General features: G+C 35.2%; 1 protein-coding gene and 1 long non-coding RNA gene across 4 annotated transcripts in view; both read left to right on the forward strand.

The window, feature by feature from the left end:
* DOK6 (docking protein 6) overlaps positions 1 to 21679 on the forward strand; it is a 448200-nt gene that overhangs the window by 373621 nt on the left and 52900 nt on the right. The gene's annotated exons all lie outside the window — the stretch shown is intronic.
* LOC107985138 (uncharacterized) lies at positions 19 to 6970 on the forward strand. Its single transcript, XR_001753491.2, has 2 exons — positions 19 to 3441; positions 6796 to 6970. It is a non-coding gene; the product is annotated as an uncharacterized LOC107985138 (long non-coding RNA).

The raw sequence follows: 21679 nt of genomic DNA on the forward strand, positions 1-21679 counted from the left end.
ATTTTTTTAAAACATGTGTTAAGAGGGTAGATCTCATGTTAAGTGTTCTTACCACAGTTAAATTAATTTAACATTAAAAACTGAATTGTGAAAGTGGTAACTTAGTCACAAGTGCAGAGAAAATGAGAGAGTTGTAGGATAGGAGGAAATCATTCAGCGTGCAACAGAGAGATGTTAAGGAGATGGGAAATATAAAATATCTTTAGACATACAGAATAGAGTATGAATATTGAACACAGATTTAATAATCATTCCTAAAGGAGATGATACAGCAAATGGGGATGAGGTAAATATACAATAACTGGTAATTCTACAGACTAGACAAATGGTATGACTTGTCAGATTGAAGAAGTACATTGAGTTCCAGCATGAAAAAAATAAAAAGCAATTCATACTTTGAAACACGAGGGTAAAATTGCCCAATTCTAAATGCAAAAGGAAGTTTTAAAATCAGAGAGATAAGACAGATAACCCACAAAAGAACAGCAAACCAGATTGACATCAGATATCTCAATAGCAACGAGATAGAACAGGAAGTGATGAAATGAAATCCCTCGTTGGCCAAGAATTTTATAACCATTCAAGAAATGAGGCCAGATGCAATAAAAGCCAGAAAATAATGAAAACCATCTTCAAATAACTAAAAACTCTATCACCAACTGAAATATGCAAGAATAAATACTAAATTGATTCATCTTTGGAAAATGCTGAGTTTACCAAACAAAAATTCCCTAAAGAAAATAAATAATGGATGTACGTAATGGAAAATAAATTTGAACTCACAAAGAAGAACTGGAGTACAAGAAGTAAAGATACTGTTAAACGTGACCAAACCTAATATACATTAACTTTAATAACAGTGATGGTAATAAAGAGTAAGTTTTAGATGTTTAAAAGAAAGGTAGAATTAAAATAGTTGATAGCAGTAACAAGAAATGGAAGGTAATAAAAAGAGAAGTATGGATACGTTTATATTTTACATTTGATTTTACTTTTTGGTCAAGTGGGCACATTAAGTAAACTACTAAAAGATTATAAATACATCTAAACAAGTAAATAGGAGAAAAGGGGAAATTTTTAAATTAATGTAATTAGAAGTAGAGAAAATATAGAAAGAAAAAAGAGTAAATAAATATTATAACAGACACTATAAAATAAGAGAGAGAGAAAATATAAATATGTAGAATCAAAAGAAACAAAAATGATTACATTTGCCTGTTATAAAAGAGAAGGAAGAAAACCTTAGATTGAGTTTTAAAAGCCCAACTTTGTGCGTTTCTAACAGAAAACATCTAAAGTTTAAGATACAGGAATGTTGAAAGTAAACTGAAGGCAAGGCAAAACACAAAGTTTTGGGAAAAGAGGGTCATTACATGTTATCATTAGAAAAAAATGATTCATCAGCAAGATGCAATATATCTGAACTCTTGATAAAATATTCCCTTGAGTGTATTTTAAGTTTGTACACACACAAAAATGGACACAATTATTAGATGGAACCTATTGAAACTGCCATAATTGTAGGTCAGTACTGTTAAATAACAACCATTTCATGTGATTCAACCAAAAAAATTGAAAACATGACAATTATAATGAGACTTTTAAAAAGGTACATCTTATAAATATTAGACTGCATGAAAAAAGTTTCTAAGGAAATAGAAAATTAAACAGCATAAAACAAGCTTAAGCAAAAACAAAAATCAGAGACTATACATTGCTTTTAAACATTCTTGGAACATTAACAAAATTTGACAACATAAGATGCCACAAACACATCTTAACGTGTATAAAATAATCAAGAGCCTATAGAACATGGGCTCATGTTTTCAGATCATAATGCAATACAAATAAAAGCCAAAAAGCCTATACTTTTAAAATTAAGAACACGTCTGTAAGATCTTTAATAAAAGACAACACAATAAGGGAACTTATTACATATTGGAACTACACGATAATGAAAACACTACATCAAAATTTATGAGATGTGGCTAAGTTGGTAGAGAAAATTTTATAGACTTACATACACGTATTTAGAAGAAAATAGGGATGGAAAATTAATCAGCTAAGCACTCAACCTTGTAGGTTAGATGAGGACAATACAAAAATAGGATAAAATCAACTAATCTCAGAAACATCAATACTAAAGACATCATCACAACCTAATTGTATACAGTCCAGAAAGTAAGGCTACTTTAACAATAAAATATCAATAAATGATTTTATGTTAGGAAATGGAAGCTAAAATTCTGAGATGATCTCTATAGGTACAGAAAAATATTTGATAAAATTCAGTATTCATCAAGAGGTATCAATATATTCTAAAGAAATGTAGGCATGTGAAATCTGTATTAGACATGACATCAGTTTGCTTCACTTCTACTTTAATTATCATAGTTCTTTAAAAAGACTGCATGTTCTCACTCAGGTGGGAATTGAACAATGAGAACACACGGACACAGGAAGGGGAACATCACACTCTGGGGACTGTTGTTGGGTGGGGGGAGGGATAGCATTAGGAGGTATACCTAATGCTAAATGACGAGTTAATGGGTGCAGCACACCAGCATGGCACATGTATACGTATATAACTAACCTGCACATTGTGCACATGTACCCTAAAACTTAAAGTATAATAAAAAAAAAAAAGACAGGATAAAAAAGTAAAACTAACTTTTTCAAAGCCTCAGTATTCCATCACTTACATATCAATTTTTTTGTAAACAAATTTTCCTTAAGATAATTATTTTCATTAATATTAAGAAAAATGTCTTACTGTATTAATGGAGATTTCTTTAAATAAATTATTCTTAAAGTTTCAGATTTGTTTAATAGAAATAAAATTTTGATGAATTATATTAGAGGTATGATATTCTCAGTAAGTCCTATTATTTATGCTAAAAATACCCTTTGGGTTTATACATAAAGTGCTTAGCAAAGCAGTTTTTCACTTTCACTTGTAACTCCTTAACAATGTTCCTGACATCACCACCAACCTCTCTTTTATCCAGGCCTGCAAAATGACAGCCATCCTTAGTTTTTTTCTTACCCCAGCAATTGACTCAGTTCTATTAATACACATTAACAGACCTATCACAAAGGACTACCCAGTTTGGCCAGAGAGTTCTGAGATGATATATTTAATTCAAAATGGCCTCCTTCCCAATCTCCCACCTCTTCTCTCTCCTCAGCCCCTACACTTCACAACAAGTATTAGGTCTAGACAGGACTGTCCCCTTCACTGACAAAAAAAAAAAAAAAAGCAGAAAGGATTCAACATGATATCTGTTTGTGGATGATAAAAAAAATTTTTAAAGAGAAAATCAACAAAGGGAAACATGAAGAAGAAACAAAATTTAAAAAATATTTATCTGTACATCCAGGAAATCATGAAAATCGGCACTCCGATTTAACAGGAAAGAGTTGCAAGAAATCCGAGAACAGGTAAGACAATGGGAAGGATATAAAGCAGACTAAAGTGCTCATCAAAGTAAATTGAAAATAATGATAAATGCTTCACACAAATAAAACAATTTTTATAAGCACTTAGAAATCCAATAACTGTAGCTGAAAAGAGACTATAGTAGCTTCAGAAAATAATAGGCATTAATAAAGTAACAAAGAAAGAAATTCAGTCAGAGAGACGGAAAATACATGGGTATGCGCACAAGTCAAATAATGGAATTGAACATACAGGTTTTCCTGAAATAGAGAATAAATACAAGATGTATATAAAGTCTTTCCTGAAATAAAGGAAGACCTATGGCTTAACTCAGGTCCTCCTAGAAGCAGATGCCGAGATGGGTTGAGATGCACGAGAGTTAGCCAGTTAGGGGTCACCAGATATTTGAGGAAAGTATGAAACAAAAAACAGAGGCCATAGCAAATAAAATTGCGTCAAAAGGAACCTCGAAGAGACCGAGGCAGTGCAGAAAGCAGAATAAAACCATGCACACAAGCAGGCTTACAAACAAGGCAATAAACACTTCACTCAGAAGTTAACTCAGATGTTTGAGAAAAACAGACATGAAACCACTGTAAACTACATGGCTGGCTTATAAATCATAATTGGATTGGTGATACTAATGCAAATGCTAAATACTGCTTTTGAAATGTACTTATTCTGAGCATGAAAGGAGGGAAGGTGTGTGTGAGGAAGGAAAGGAGTGGTTCAGACCACTAAATCATCATATTCCATAGTAGGAAGAAAATCTATAACATCTAAAAATGAAAAATCAAAACCCAGCTTTTAAAACCATTTTCATTTAAGAATATGAAGGTCAATATCTGAAGAGATAGCCTAAAGGATTGTGACTGCTAACTTCTGAAAATATAGCATAGTACTGCCATTGTTAGTATGTTTCCCTTGTTTGTTTTTAGACATGGAACTTTAAACTCCAGCCCCCTAATGAGTGGAATGGGGATGGAAGGAGCAGAGTGGTTAGAAGAATTTTACCGGCTCACTTCTGCTCTATTTGAATCTTTTACAAAAATCAAGTTATCATTTGTAATTTAGAAAATGATTTTAATATACAAAATACAAAAAAAGCATTAGATGCTTATTGCCATCAAGATAATTTCTAGATTTTTCTTGATATTTACGGTGCTTCATATTCTGACCTCATCTTCGTGCTGTTGAAAGGGCTCTTTCCAGCACTGTCTCCCTCAATAAATCTGTTGCCCAGGACTTAACTGTCCCAAATGGTCATGTACTTTCCCATTTTTACCCTCCTTTTATACCATTGCTTTCACTCAATGCCTTTTTCACAATCCCTACTTGTGATGTGGCTAAACGTACTTAGATGTCCGGATAACAGTGGATTAATTTTACCCTACTGCATATATGTCCCTGCACGCTCACTAGATATCAAAGCAGAGACTATCTCCACCTCCTCCAGTACCTACTGAGCATAGTGCCCTACACAGCTTTATGGCACACACACAGTCTACACACACACACACACACACACACAAACAGTATGTTTCTGGCAAGAAATGTCAGTGTTGTTATGCTTGCTATTTATTAAATTCTTGTAATTATGTTGACTTGTAATAGAAATTGTAAATAGAGAGAATATGTATCCCAAGTTACTACTCTTTTGATTTGTAAGGAAAAAAATAAAAAATATTATGAGTGCTTAAAAGATAATTTAGCTGTAACAATAGGAGAGGTCTCTCTGCCCCGTGTGTGTGTGTGTGTGTGTGTGTGTGTGTGCATGTGTGTGTATTTGTGTGTTCTTAATCTGCCACTGTATCATAGTCCATTCAACTTCATATGCAGGGGACTTGTAATTGGTCTTCTTGACAGAAGATACTATTGATCATGCAACACCTCTGATGCCCTTCAAACCTGGACTTACCCTTTTCTATCCTGTGAATAAATATTTGCCATATTTTTCATGTTTTCACAGTTTCATGAAAAAAATAACTCAAATTCAATCATAGTATCCTATTTATTGTGTTATTACTGGAAAAAGAAAATATTTTATTTAGAATTGTACAAATAACTATAATTATATAAATAATAGAGCATGAAAATATGGTCCTACCTTCACATTTGAGAAAACAAAAATTTCTGAAAATATAATTGTTTAAAATATTCTAAAATACAAAAGAATAAAAGCATTAGATACTCACTGCCATCAAGATAATTTCGGATTTTTCTTCGTATTTTTGGTGCTTCTTATTCTGACCTCATTTTTGTGCTGTTGAAAAGGCTCTTTCCAGCATTGTCACCCTCAGTAAATCTGATGCCCAGGATTTACCTGCCCCAAATAGCCATATATTTTCCTATTTGAAACATTGGCTAGGCACGGTGGCTCATGCCTGTAATCCCAGCACTTTGGGAGGTTGAGGTGGGAAGATCACTTGAGGTCAGGAGTTCAAGACCAGCCTGGCCAACATGGTGAAACCCTGTCTCTACTGAAAATACAAAAATTAGCCGTGCATGGTGATGTGTGCCTGTAGTCCCAGCTACTCTGGATGCTGAGGCAGGAGAGTCACTTGAACCCAGGAGATGGAGGTTGTAGTGAGCAGAGATTGTGCCACTGCACTCCAGCCTGGGCAACAGACCAAGACTCCGTCTCAGAAACCAAACAAACAAAAAGAAACATTGAAACATTGAACATTATGTTTCAGTAATATAGTATATAAAGCTTTCATGGACACAATCTCTCTTTCTATACGGAATACAACATTAAACAATCAATTATCTTCTGCTATGTATGCGAGTATATTCATTATTCAATTGAAACCTTGGTATTGGCAAGTTACAAAACTGAGCTGAGATTTTAAGTGAAAATCATGTGACCATGTTATATGTGTCTGAAGGTACACAGGATGAAGAAAGCTCTGTGTTTCCGTTCTCTTTGTTTTTCAATGGACACCAAGATGTGGATATTTATGGGCTGTCTATGGTAGAGCCATGTGTAGTAGCTATGGGATTTCTTAGTTTAGCCTGTAGATCTCCACCGATTTCTCTGTTCACTGGATGACAGACGGCCATTTGTCAGAAATATTATGGTGCACACTGTGTCTTTGCAATCCCCACAAACAATTTCAGCTACCAAGAGAAAACACTCTGAAAATAGATTCCAAAATTCAACTGCTCATCTGCTTGTCTCCCTTTAAATTTTTCAGAGGAAACTGTCAGAAGACAGTTTTTTCTAGACTTCATCTGCACTCTTAAAGAGGATTTTTTTCTATAGTGCTATAAAAATAAGAAGGTTTTGCCAAAGGAAGAGTGAAGATTGTCTAGTTGGTAAGCCTGACTGATGTTTTCTCCCATGACATTCCTAGATTTCTTGAAGAAAATGCACCCTTGGTTATGTATGGCATCACTCACCATCTGTTCATGGATACTTCTACATGCAAAGTTGTACATGACTTGGAATAAACCAGCTCTAGTTTTATCATCAGTGTTAATTGTAAATACATTATCTGTAATCAGAAATAAATGTTAGTGATACCATGATTTATTTATGACATGACTTACCACCTAAACGTATGAATATGCCAAGTAAGTGAAATTATAGTGGGTAAAGCTTATGAAAAGTACTCTATTACTAACCGTTTCTGCATGGAAATTTGTATATTCTAGGAGTAATTGTCTCAGCTACAGATGGAAAAGCTAGGTTTCAAAGTAGATTTAAAATAGTGTTATGCAGGATTATATAATATTCGTTATTTTAATTAACATTTTCATATATTGAAATCATTTACCATTTTATGCAAATGACATCATTTGGAAGTTTAATTTCTAAAATTGTGAAGTTTTTCCTGTTAAATAAAAATTTATCAGGGTAAAAGTGATCTTTTCATCCAGATGACTACCTTGACTTCATATTTACCTTTGAAAGAAAACTTTGTTATGGTTATAAACAAGTAAAATTATATATTTTCTAGCAAAAGAGAGATTTCATTAAAGAAAAATAATTACTTCTGGAATTGGGCAGTTTATAATTCACATTTGTAATATAGAATTAGCTTAGGGCAACTAAGAAATAAGAATGAAAAATATAGCAGTTCTATTACAGCCCATGGTTAATAAAATAATTACTGTGAAAAAAATGGAAAGATTATAGGAAGATTAGCTATAGAGACTACAGAAAGAGTGGATGTTTTGAAAAGTAAGTTCCTTTTTTTTCTGTCAGTGACCAGAGTTTTTTAAATCCAGAACTAACTGGAAATTTTATGTGTTCTAAGATTTTTTTTTTTTTTTTTTTGAGATGGTGTCTCGCTCTGTCACCCAGGCTGGAGTGCAGCGGCGAGATCTCAGCTCACTGCAAGCTCCACCTCCCAGGTTCACGCCATTCTCCTCCCTCAGCCTCCTGAGTAGCTGGGACTACAGGCACCTGCCACCATGCCCGGCTAATTTTTTATATTTTTAGTAGAGACTGGGTTTCACTGTGTTAGCCAGGATGGTCTCGATCTCCTGACCTCGTGATCCCCCCGCCTCGGCCTCCCAAAGTGCTGGGATTACAGGCGTGAGCCACCGCACTCGGCCGTGTTCTAAGATCTTCTAAAGCTTCATGCATCTTCCTGAAGAAACTATCTTAGAAGTTAGTTCCACAAAGACAATAGAACAAGTTGTGTTTCATTAAACTCTTGCAAGACAGGTGCAGTGGCTCACACCTGTAATCCCAGCACTTTGGGAGGCTGAGGCAGGAGAATCGCTTGAACCCAGGAAGTGGAGGTTGCAGTGAGCTGAGATCGCACCACTGCACTCCAGCCTGGGCAACAGAGCGAGACTCCGTCTCAAAAAATAAAAATTAAAAACTTGCAAGAAAATTCCTATTTTAAAAACATATCAAAACAGGTCACATGTGATTTAAAACACAAGCTTGCTATTCACTCCTACTATCCTCCCTGAAGTGTGACCCATCCTCTTTTTCCCTCTCTGTGGGTTCCAGATTCTCATTTCAGTAGCCAGCATGTGTGTGCCCTGTAGCCCACGAACTTTGGAAGAAATTGACAGCAACTCAATTCCAGGTGTGGCCACACTGGTGAGCTTAGTTGGTATATTTCGTTTGCTTGATCAGAGCCATTGATTCAGGGATAGACATGACCCAGGCAATGAAAGAGACTTGCATCTCAGCCTTTTGTTCAAAAGTACTCTCACCCACCAGGCTTACCTGAGAGAGCAGACAGCTCCTACTGTGGCTGTGGCCAACCTCTTTCCAAAGGAGTGGCCACACGACAGCGAAGCCAACACTAGCACTGTGCATCCAGTACAATAACCATTGCCACACATGGCTGTTGAACACTTGAGATATGATTAGTCCGAATTGAGATATACTATAAGAGAGATACACACACCAGATGTGAAGATTTAGCATGAAATAAATGTATCTCATAATTTTTATATTGATTACATGTTGAACTGATAATATTTTGGATACATTGGGTTAAAAGATGTTACCAAAATTAATTCCACCTCTTCCTTTTTGGATTTTTAATGTAGCTACTAGTAAATTTAACGTTACATTGGTGTTTTATATACTACGTGCATTGGGCAGCATTGTTCTGGTATGATCCAGGTGCTGATGGCATTCTTGAGTGGCCAGATCAACCAATTGTGAGTTCCACATGACCTCTGGATTTTCTAGAGACAATTCAAGATATTTCTTTATTTTCTAAAATCACTTTGGATTTGTATTTTTAATTATTTATAATTAAAAACATCCAAATCAACGCTCTGGTTTTATATTTAAGCACTTGATTTATCTGTACAGTTATTTGAAAAATATGAAGGCCTATACTCAATTTTTCTTTAAAATTCTTATAATTTTCAATGAATATCATTTAATTTTTCAAAAAGTATAAAATTTTAGTGCATTCATGTTTCTAAATTTATATTTAAAATACTAAATGTTCCGCAAGTGATATTTAACGATTTTCTGCCCTTGGCTGGGCGTGGTGGTTTATGCCTGTAATCCCAGCACTTTGGGAGGCAGAGGCGTGTTGATCACTTCAGCCCATGAGTTTCGAACCAACCTGGGTAAACCCCATCTCTACCAAAAAATACAAAAAATTAGCCAAGTGTGGCAGCATGCACCTGTAGTCTCAGCTACTCGGGAAGCTGAGTGGTGGGAGGATCACTTAAGCCCAGTAGAGGCCACAGTGAATTGTCATTATGCCACTGCACTTCAGCCTGGGTGACAGAGCAAGATTCTGCCTCAAAAAAAATAAAATAATAAAAATTTTCCACCCTTTTGTTAATATCATTACCATCATAACGGATTACAAGTTAATTTTTGATATAAAAATGATAAATGTATGTGGGCATAATAATATTTGTATTCTAAAGTAACAATCCCATAATTCTTAGGCAGGAAATATGGACTTATCTTTAATTAAATTGTTAGCCTTGCCCTAGACAAAACATCATGGTTTTATATGGAGTTTTTATATATAAATAAATTATTCTCATAATATTACAGTATCAAAAGAGCACACTTTATTTTATAATTTAATATAAAAATATAAAATGTAATATAAAATATTATGATGCACTTGTAATTTATTATTGCAAGTAAAATTGTGATTAATTTCTTTAAAAATTGCATAAGATTAAGTGAAAATGGCTATCCGTCATCACTTTATGTTGGATTACATTTTATTCCATCCAAAAAAATTCATTAGTTTAATTTAATTCCTAAGATATTCCTAAGCACTTATCAAATATGGCAATGTAGTTATTCCATAGGGAGAAAAAAATCTATTTCCACAAGATAGATAATTCTTGTTTTTATATAAGATTTTCACACTGTGTTTTTCAAAAGTTAATGAGAGATTCATCAGATTTTCCATTTTCTTGGTCATGGATCATTAACCTTATAGAAATGCAGGTAAAATTGACTTTACTATGTTTTTTATCATTATAAATCTCAAAGTCATAGAGACTGTTTGTCACCCATGCTGGTGCTGAAAATGCAGTTCATAACCTGATTCCATAAACACTACGGCAACACTTTAGACTGAGAAGCATAATCTCATGCTATATGCTATAATTAAAGTACACTCAGTGTCCTTTTGATGGGATGGCAAATGACGGTCTGTGATGACTTGCTTTTCCCATTATTGCTGTCATATAGGACACATAATTCAGCAAATGCTTCCATTTCTCAGAACTTTTATGTGTGTAATGACAGCCCAACATCAGCAATGTTCTGTTAATATAGTAAAGAAGATAAGATTGCCTGTTTGGAGCTGGACACTAAACAGATTATTTGGATGATGTCTTACTGAGCATCTTATTCATCAAATCTAGAATTTAATTCTAAGATGTAGGTTTGCAATTACGCATTTGGTTCAGCAAAACATTTTTATATACTGGGTCTTGAAATTCTGTTCGTCCTGTTTTGCCCAGACATCTGTAATTATGTCCTCAAACTATATAACTATGGTGGTCTCCGTTTCAATTCTAATAAAAACCTATGACCCTCGTTCTGCAGCCAAGGCCATGGTGGTTTAACAATAAAAAGGGATATTAACATGAAAAATATCGAAGAGCATCAAGACATTAAATCAAGGCAGGTTTTTTTTCCCCTAAATTGTACCAGTTATTGGGAATCTTCTTTTAGGAATAGATTTTCCATTAGTTCATGGGTATGCAGATCTAGAAACCTCAAGAATTCTTTTTGTTCCGTTGCCAGATTTGAAACTCAGTCACTGCCTTTTTATCTCAATGTGCTTTGTTGCCATATTTCTGATGTTTCTTTCCTCATTCCTGACATTACGTTGTCCATTATATTATTCATTTCTCAGTTGCTTCCTTTCTTATGATTTATGCTATAAGTTACCATAATACTTTGTGGAAAGTCTTGGTATATAGTTATTAAATGTGAATGCTAATCAAATATGATTAAAATGCTCTTCTAGCTCTCTTTGTTAGAAAGGTAATGCTCTCTCAGAGTTAGACCTTCAAATTAAGTCATACGTACTCAGCTAGTCTTAATGCCATTAAAATATCTTCAGGATTATAGAATTGGGGAAGTTATACTAAGTAAAAGACTTTTGCATATTTGGTTTGTTTATCAATTGTGCTTTCCTGTTGTATGCGTTTGATATTTAAAATGCTCTTATGAGGAAGGGGAAAAAACACCTATATTTATTTCTTAATGGTTTCCACATGCTTGAAAAAATAAATCAAAACTTGACATGGAGACCATCTAAAAATTCATTGACTTACGCTTAATATAAAATCTGAGGCCTATATTCTCAGAAAACAACCAAAGCACATGATAATAATCTAGCAAAAAAATCCTATATTTGATTTTTGAAATATGTGTTGATCTTAAAAATTATATTTTGATACAAGCATATTTCATATGTTAGACTGCTTCCCTTTATTTTACAAGTCTGAGCTTTCAATGAATGAGTCACTTGTGGCTTAACCTAATTCCTATTCTGAACATAATCTTTAATATAAAGAGTCAGCCTTATGGAAAAAAGAGATTGATGTAGAGTTGAAATAACGGTAATGTTATATCACAGAAAGTGTTGGGGGAAATTTGAGTGGTGAGATCAATTAATTTTCCTCAGAACTTAAACACAAGAGAATCTTGCACAATGAAGTGTTATTTCCTACTAGTAGCAAGTGTTCATTTTCTGGCTTTGACATACAATGTATAGTTTCAAAAATACTCAGAAGTTAGTGCCTTAGCACAAAGCTTGCAACAGTTGCAAAAGGCACCTAAGGAACATTTTGCACTGTGATCAGTAAAACACTGAGACATGCACAATAATTAAATACAGTAAACTTTGACATTTTGCAGACATTTTGTTATATAAAATTCATACATATGGGTACATTATGTTGAACCACGTGATTCCTAATTTTGTAGGTCAAAAGTGATTAAGTACCAGCAATTTCAGATTGTTTGACCTAATTCAAAAATGCACAGATCCCAAGTGTACAATCTGATGGCCGGGCTTGGTGGCTCACGCCTGTAATCCCAGCACTTTGGGTGGTTGAGGCAGGCAGATCACTTGAGGTCAGGAGTTTGAGACCAGCCTGGCCAACATGGTGAAAACCCATCTCTATCAAAAATACAAAAATTAGCCAGGCGTGGTGGTGCATGCCTGTAAACCCAGCTAGTTGGGAGGCTGAGGCAGGAGAATCGCTTGAACCTGGGAGGCAGAGGTTGCAGTGAACTGAGATCACGCCACTGCATTCCAGGCTGGGCAACAGAGTGAGACTTGGTCTCAAAAAACAAGACAAAACAAAACAAAACTTGATGAATTTTCTCATACTGAAAATATTTTTATAACTAGCATCAAGATCCAATATACTTTTTTTGGTCATAATTATGTGTCTTTGTCAAAATAGGACAATATAACATATTTCCTTTTACAGTGTGTTAACTTTATTTGTAACATACGTATTTAGACAGGTGGCATGTCCATTCAGATTCTCACCTTGGGTCCACCTCTCTGACAGTGGAAGAGAAAATGGAATCAATACATTATAAGGAAGAATCATGAAAGTCATTTTATTTGTTTTTCTTCTGTCAAGGGTCACAGTCTTGTGCTGCCTGTTGTCCAGTGTGTGAAATCAATTGTTTTATATGTTGATACAGTTTTTTTAATTGTTTACAACCAAAAGGGAAAGCCAGCTCATTCCTAGATATTCCATTATGACCAGAAACAGAAATCTAGGGCACGCTGCTAAACAACCTCAAAGTTAAAAGTGGTTCTAGTATGATACAGTACCTGTTTTCAAACTTTTTAGCTAAGACAGATACATGAAGGGAAGGAATATGTGCTTCTCTAGAGCCTGGGAGAAGACCCAAATGAGTTCCGAAAAAGACAAACTATCTTTATTGTCATACTTAAAAGGTTGCAATTAATCTGCTTTCTCCTCCATGCTCTACCTTTAGACTAAATATATATGCACTTTAGACTAAATATATTCAGCCTCGGCAATTAGCTTACTTTTGAGGGTGTCCATACCCAACAGGTGCTACCACTTATAAGTGTATTTCTGCAGAAGTTGCTGAGTCACCAGCAGCTCTAAGATATTATGAAATCCTCCAGTGCCCTTCTGGAGCCACTTGGGGGACAAGGGTTTTAAATGGTAGAGAACTCTTGCGTGGAATCCTCAAGTCTCCAAACATCTGTACTTTGTCTAGAAGTCAACTCCCAAGTGCCTAAAGGATTATTAAATAACCAGGGGTAATCTAGGTCTCTTCTGGATTAAACTCAGTGCCCTAAAGTTCTCCTCACAAAGCAGGATACACACCCAACAAGGTACTAGAACTGGCACGTTACTAGTTGTGTGTGTTAATGTCTTTAGGAATCTAGAAATCTCCTAAGTCATCTTCTCACTCACTTAAACAATTGTGTAGTTCACAAACACGGAGGGATGACTAACTTCCTGAAGAATGCAGCCACAATTTGTAAGCATAAATGGGCTCTTTGTAATGAGAAGAAATTAGAGGGTTCTGTTCCATTTTTATTATGCAGAATGGAAGTTTTCAATGATATGTAACACATAAAAATTAAGGAGTAGGTGGAGATTCCAACATTAAGGTAATGTTAAGCATATGATCTATTTAAACTTGGCACTTAACGAACAGAGAGTAAAGCTATCCAAGGCGTCCTAACTGATCATTTGGAAGACTGGCAAAAGTGTTCGGCATAAAACAATATGCATTAGTGTAATCAGAATGTGTAAATTGTAATCATAATGCCTCTTAAATGTACCCATGTCAGTAACAGAATCGCTGCCAGGTAATGAAGACAGACTACTTGGTGAGAAAGAGCTATCTCATTTACTTTTTATTATGTCCCAATCTGTAAATTAGGAGCACAAAAAATTGGTCCAGCTGCCCTGTGTTTTCACTTTCAGCAACGCTATCTCATGAAATAATGGAAATGTTTTCCCGTAAATAACCAAAGAACAGAAATAATGCAACTCATTAAAATACAATAGTGTATATGACTTCAACTCGTCTTAACAAGGTTGGTATTCCCAATAAACAGTTCCTTAAAACAGAAAATTAGTGGGCATTTATGGAAGTTCTTTAAAGATAAATGATGTTTTGTTATTACTTTTTAAGAAATCCTTTCCAATAATAACCAAGACCATGTATTTGAGTTACAAACATGACCATGATTCAAAGCAACAATTGTGAAAATGATGCTAGTACAATTTTGTCTCCCTAATTCCGAGTTTCTTCTTCCACAGTGATTAGTATTTATTCATAGGCTTAATGGAAATTATTAAATATTTGTTAAATAAAATAATATATGGTATATACGCATATAAAATCTGGCTTTATGAGTAAACTAAATACCTTTTATAGGACCTTTTACTCTTATTTCATTCAGTTTGTTCTTTCCAAACCAAAAATTAATGCTTGCATTATGTTGGTAAATCTCCCTAAATGTTCCCAACTCAACTATAAATAAAGTGGATGACCCATTATATTGGGTCAGGTGTGTGTATGCGTGTGTGTTTGTGTGTGTGTGTAAGTAAAATAAAAAAGAAATTCAACAAATAAAACTAAAATTATCTCTATATTTTATAATACCACAAGAAACTGCTGGTCACTGTACTCCTTTTTATAGTGGGGTGGTAAGCAACTGAGAACCTGAGATTGTTTATGTTCCCAAAGATGACATTAAAAAGAAACTTTTTACAAACATTCTTGGCAGTATTTCTTTTGCCAAAATTTGTATCAATTTATTAACTACATGAAACAGATTAAATATATTAAACCTAGTTTTTTCCAAACCTGTCCATGGCTAACCATTAAGATACCAGCTAGAACTATTTGAATATCATCTTCAGAATAAATTTGTAAACACTTTTTCTTCTTTACTTGATTATCCAGCAAGTTTTCTGCCACTAAGCCCTCCACACAACAGTAAGCACATTAGGGGAGGCTGCAGTGTAAGTCTGTGGTGATATTCCACTATTTCTGAAACACAAAGACACTTTTGATCCCCTATGACTTCACATGCATGTTACTGAAAAGGCATTATTGACTTCCCTTTGTTGCTACAATGGAGTAACAAGATCAAAGTCCTCAGAGTTGAACAAGAGGTACAGACTAAACCCCAAGTCCTCTATTATCTGTGACCAGAGATTTTGTCAAAGGAGAGGATGTCTCTTAATCCATCAGGAGAAGCACCAGGCACCTGTGCAATTTTAAAAATTGCTGTGTTTCACCACGTTTCACTCATAAGTGGGAGTTGAACAATAAGAACACATGGACACAGGGAGGGGAACATCACACACTGGGGCCTGTCGGGGGGTGGGGGGCAAGGGGAGGGATAACATTAGGAGAAATACCTAATGCATGCAGGGCTTAAAACCTATGATGGGTTGTTGGGTGCAGCAAACCACCATGGCACGTGTATACCTTTGTAACAGACCTGCAGGTTCTGCACATGTATCCCAGAACTTAAAGTATAATTTTTAAAAAATTGCTGTGTTTCTGAGAACCACTAAATTATAAAGTCTAGAATGTGTTTATAATTAATTATACAATCTGAAGCATGCGCTAAGTAAGAATTTTTATATTCTTAAAATAGTATATGGACAATATTAAGATCTTGGTTTTCTATATTTAGTAATATGTGCAGTAATGCAGGGTTGCATTGCTATTGGGCTTTTTTCTTTTTAGAAATTTTATTTTATTTTTGTAAGTACATAGGTATATATATTTATGGGATACATGAGCTATTTTGATATGGGCATACAATGCATAACAATCACATCAGGGGAGTATTTATCACCTGAAACATTTATCTTTTCTTCATGTTACAAACAATCCAAATATACTCTTCTAGTTATTTTTAAATGTTCAATAAATTTTTGTTGACTGTGGCCATCCTGTTGTGCTATCAAATACTAGATCTTATTTATTCCATCTAACTATATTTCTGTACCCATTAACCATCCCACCCCTCCCCCACCCTTCCCATCCTCTAGTAACCACCATTCTACTCTCTATCTCCATGAGGTCAATTATTTTAATTTTTAGCTCCCACAACTAAGTAAGATCATGCAAAGCTTGTTTTTCTGTGCCTGGTTTATTTCAGTTTAAATGATGACCTCAAATTCTATCCATGTTGTTACCAATGACAGGATCTCATTCTTTTTTATAGCTGAATATGTCTTTATCCATTTGCCTGTTAATGGATACTTAGGTTGCTTCTAAATCTGGGTTATTGTCAATAGGGCTGCAATAAACATGGAAGTTCAGCTATCTCTTCAATACACTTATTTCTTTTCTTTTGGGAATATACCTAGTGGTGGGATTGCTGGATCATGTGGTAGCTCTACTTTTGGTTCTTTGAGGAACCTCCAAACTATTCCCCATAGTGGTTATACTAACTTACATTCCCACCAACAGTGTGTGAGGATTCCCTTCTCTCCACATTCTCACCAGCATTTGTTATTGCCTGTCCTTTGAATAAAAGCCATTTTAACTGGAGTGGGATGATACCTCAATGTAGTTTTAATCTGCATTTCTCTGATGATCAGTGATGCTGAGCAGCTTTTCATACACCTGTTTGCCATTCGTATGTCTTCTTTCGAGAAATGTCTATCCGGATCTTTTGCCCATTTTAAAATCAGATTACTAGATTTTTTTCTATAGAGTTCTTTGAGCTCCTGATATATTCTGGTTATTATCCCTTATTGGATGGGGAGTTTGCAGATATTTTCTCTCATTCTATGAATTGTCTCTTTACTTTGTTGATTGTTTCCTTTGCTGTAGAAGCTTTTTAACTTGATGTGATCCCATTTGTCCATTTTTGCTTGGGTTGTCTGTGTTTGTGGGGTATTACTCAAGAAATATTTGCCCAGTCCAATGTCCTGGATTGTGTCTCCAATGTTTTCTTTTAATAGTTGCATAGTTTCAGGTCTTAGATTTAAGTCTTTAATCCATTTTCATTTGGTTTTTGTATATGGTGAGAGATAAGGATCTAGTTTCATTCTTCTACCTATAGATACTCGGTTTTCCCAGCACCATTTATTGAAGAGATGGTCATTTCCCTAATGCATGTTCCTGGTGACTTTGTCAAAAATGAATTCACTGTAGATGTATGAATTTATTTATGGGTCCCCTATACTCTCCCATTGGTCTATGTGTCTGTTTTTATGCCATTACCATGCTGTTTTAGTTACTATAGCTCTGCACTATAATGTGAAGTCGAGTAATGTGATTCTTCCAGTTTTGTTCTTTTTGCTCAGGATAGCTTTGGCTATTCTGTATCTTTTGTAGTTTTAATAGAATTGTCTTTTCTGTTTCCGTGAAGAATGTTATCGGTATTTTTGATAGGAATTGCACTGAATCTATAGATTGCTAGGTAATATGGAAATTTTAACAATATGGATTATTCCAATCCATGAACATGGAATATCTTTCCATTTTTTGGTGTCCTCTTCTATTTCTTGCATCGGTGTTTTACGGTTTTTTTTGTAGAGATCTTATCACTACTTGTTTAATTCCTTTTTCAGATTGTTTGCTGCTGACAAATAGAAATGCTACTGCTTTTCATATGTTGATTTTGTATCCTGCAACTTTATTACATTTTAAATCAATTTTAATAGTTTTTTGGTGGAGTCCTTAGTTTTTTCCAAATATTAGATTATATCATCTGCAAACAAGGATAATTTAACTTATTCCTTTTGAATTTGGCTGCTCTTTATTTCTTTCTGTTGTCTGATTGCTCTAACTAGGTGCATTGCTACTGTGACCCAAATTCCAGTATGTAAGAGAATCTCACCCATCAAAAATAAGAACAATAAGTCCTTTGAACCTTGTAATTGCAACATATTACATGCTTTTCCAGGTTTTGCTGTCCTTGATCAATTTGCTAAATCGTCCTTCAGGAGATAATAAAAAGTGATGCAAATTATAGAAAAACAAGAAATAATAGTCTCCATTGAAAATTAGTAATGATCTATTGAAACAAAGACTGACATTGAAAATGAAGAATAACTTAGTGACAAAATGCATTCAAATTTATAGCCAGTCATCTTCTAAGAAATAGATAAATATCCATATTAGAAACAATTATTTGCAGCAGAATTTTACTTTTATTGTATTAAAATCTCCTAGTTTTAATAAATAGTACCAGAGGATCAATAAACTGTATCATTTGTATACTGCTTCACAGCCTGAAAGCTGAGACCAGTAACTCAATAGATTGACTTATAGTTTTCTGGTGAGTTTTCGGACTTTGACCATGATTTTCAGTTTATAGAATTTTTGAAACAGTAACAAAAACAGACATATCCATTTAATTTAGAATAGCATCCACAAATAGTTATCTACAAATACAAGGCACTGTCCTAGGCATATACTGTTTTTACCTATCTCCAAGGAACTTGTGTCCAACTGATGATCCAAACATAAAGAAAGTGTTGGCTAATGGTGAGATCAAGGTGTTGACAGAAAGGCCAGCTAGTTGATTACCGCACCAGAGTTTCATAAAGTGACAATGCTTTAGTTCCACACAACTCCAGTGCCACTTTACATGTGTAATTATGGTTGCATTGACACCTATATCACAATCACAAAATAATGTTTTATTTTAAATACAATCTTTTTTAAAAGGGGAACTTAAGACTCCTAGGGATCTGAGGAAAGGGTTCAATGTAAAAATTTTCTTACTTTTAGGAAACATTGAATTAAATCATATAACTGGAACGTGACAGAGCCAGAATTTAAACCCAAGTTTTCAGAGTTCTTTTCACTACCAGAGAGAAAAGATTTCTTAGAAGAGATAGCACTTTCCCAACATCTTTTGCACATCTAGAGAGAAAGAAATAAGCACTATGGGAAAAACAAATGGTATTTTCATTGTTCCTTGAAAAAAATAACCCTACACCAAGAATTATAGGACAAAAGCCCAATGGGATATTAAAGTAAAAGCCACACTCAACGAAACTGAGGACTCTTTTCTTGTTTTGTTGAGATGCTGTGATATAGACATTAAGTTTAGCCAAATACTCCTCTTCCTATTTATTTTTATTTAACATCCCTGACAGAATTATGAAGCTTCAGATGAATACTCAGAGTGATAAACGACAGACTGCTCTCCCAACACCCTGAATGGAAATTTTTCATTTTGCTCAGTACATTTATGAAATAATCCTGTTATGTGTCTTATGGTGGTCATCACTTGGATCCTGCCTACTTTCCATGTCATTGGGGCCCCATTTTCACGTCTTCCCTCCCAAGCATCCCCAGTACTGTTCAGTTATACATAATTCTATCAAATACTCAAATTCCTTTTAGCTAGCTTTCTACAGAAGTATCTGCCTTTTGCACTGTTCTAGGGTAAGCACCCTGCCAGAGGTCTGCATTGATGTCATTAGCAAAAGGAGAAAGTAATTAAATGGAAAATGAATGCCTATTTTCAATTCCACCAAAATATGTTTTTTTAACCATTATGATTTTTCAGCTATAATATCCATTGTTTCTGTTTCGTTAAATGAGGTAGTACTTTCCCTTAGGAATACTGGCAGTGGGAACATTGACAATGTCTCTTATTTCACAGAATGGGATTTCAGAACAGATATGCCAAGTAAGTTGAGTAAGATTCCACTCCATCACCATACTCATCATATTCTACTTCCAGATAGGATGCAAAGCAGGGGTCCCAATCACCAGGCCAAAGACCAATACTGGTTTATGGCCTGTTAGAAACCAGGCCACAGAGCAGGTGAGCAGCGGGCAAGCTAGTGAAGCTTCATTTGTATTTGCAGCCGCTCCCCATCACTCACATTCCTACCTGAGCTCTACCTCCTGTCAGATCAGCGGCATGAGATTCTCAAAGGAGCATGAAGCATGAACCCTATTGTGAACTGCGCATGCGAGGGATTTAGGCTCCGTGCTCCTTATGAGAACCTAATGCCTGATGATCTGTCACTGTCTCCCATCACCCCCATATAGGACTGTCTAGCTGCAGGAAAACAAGCTTAGGGCTCCCACTGATTCCACATTATGGTGGGTTGTATAATAATTTCATTATATATTACAATGTAATAATAGAGATAAAGTGCAAAATAAATGTAATGCACTGGAATCATCCTGAAACCATCCCCCACCCTGATCCATGGAAAAATTGTCTTCCATGAAACTGGTCCCTGGTGCTAAAAGGTTGTGGGCGTCTGATATAGTTTCATTTACAATAACTCCATTATTCTTGGAGTTCGGACACCTGGGTTTTCAACCCAGTTTGGTCACTAACCTCTTAAACAACCAAGACAAGCGGATGATCATCTCTGAGCTGTACAGTTCTCATACAAGATAGACACCAGACGATGGCAAAGGCTGTTTAAGCTTTAAAATGCTTAGCCCTTCCATTTTTTTCATTCAGAATATGTTTTACAATGGGCATAGAAATCTTTCAGTCTTTAAAAACGTGATGAAGGATATGAGACTATTTCTATAGAGCTAAAAATATATTTATATTTTGAATTATGAAACAGTGTGTAGGAACATCTTACAAAACTTAATAGTAATATATTGAAAGACAGCATAACCCAGTTGCCAGAGAAAGCAGAAATCAAGACAAAGATCTTGGAACAACATTGTTTAATGTGAGAACAAGGTTCCAGTTCTCTGACGCCTGTATTCATTTAACAAATGTTTACTAAGCACCAACTGTGTGCTAGGCAAAAGGCCAGGCCCTCTTTTTAATAAAGTTCGTTCATGATACACACTGATTGATTTAATGACAGCCCGTTTGGGAATTTTCTCCATTTGGCTGGCAGGATAAATGGAATGTCTTGCAGCACTCAAAGTAAAGGTCTTTAAGGAGAAGTTTTATCTGCTTTTAACCACCTCCTAACAAGTGGGAAAGAAGAGAGAAACAACTCTATGTGTCTGTTCAGGTTTATTTTTCCTCTGAGTAATCAAACTGTGGAAAGCAGCTTTGACCACGTAGGGAAAGAGCCAGCCACTGAACTGTGATCCGAGCTCATCCTGTAACAGAGGGCCTGAGGCACTTTCTAGAAGAATGAGTTTTCTGCCTGAGTGTTTCTTTCAGAGAAGAGAGAAATGAAATGTCACAGCAATTATCTGGGCAGCGGCAGTGCAGGGAAAGCTGGCTGTGGCCAGAGTCCCAATTACTGGATTAGGCAGAGACGGATCTCAGCAACTCCTGTTGCTTCAAGGTGAGCTCAGTAACAGCGTGATGGAAAGGATGAAAA

The sequence above is a fragment of the Homo sapiens genome, chromosome 18 (assembly GCF_000001405.40).
Source record: "Homo sapiens chromosome 18, GRCh38.p14 Primary Assembly".
In the NCBI taxonomy this organism is placed as follows: Eukaryota; Metazoa; Chordata; class Mammalia; order Primates; family Hominidae; genus Homo; species Homo sapiens.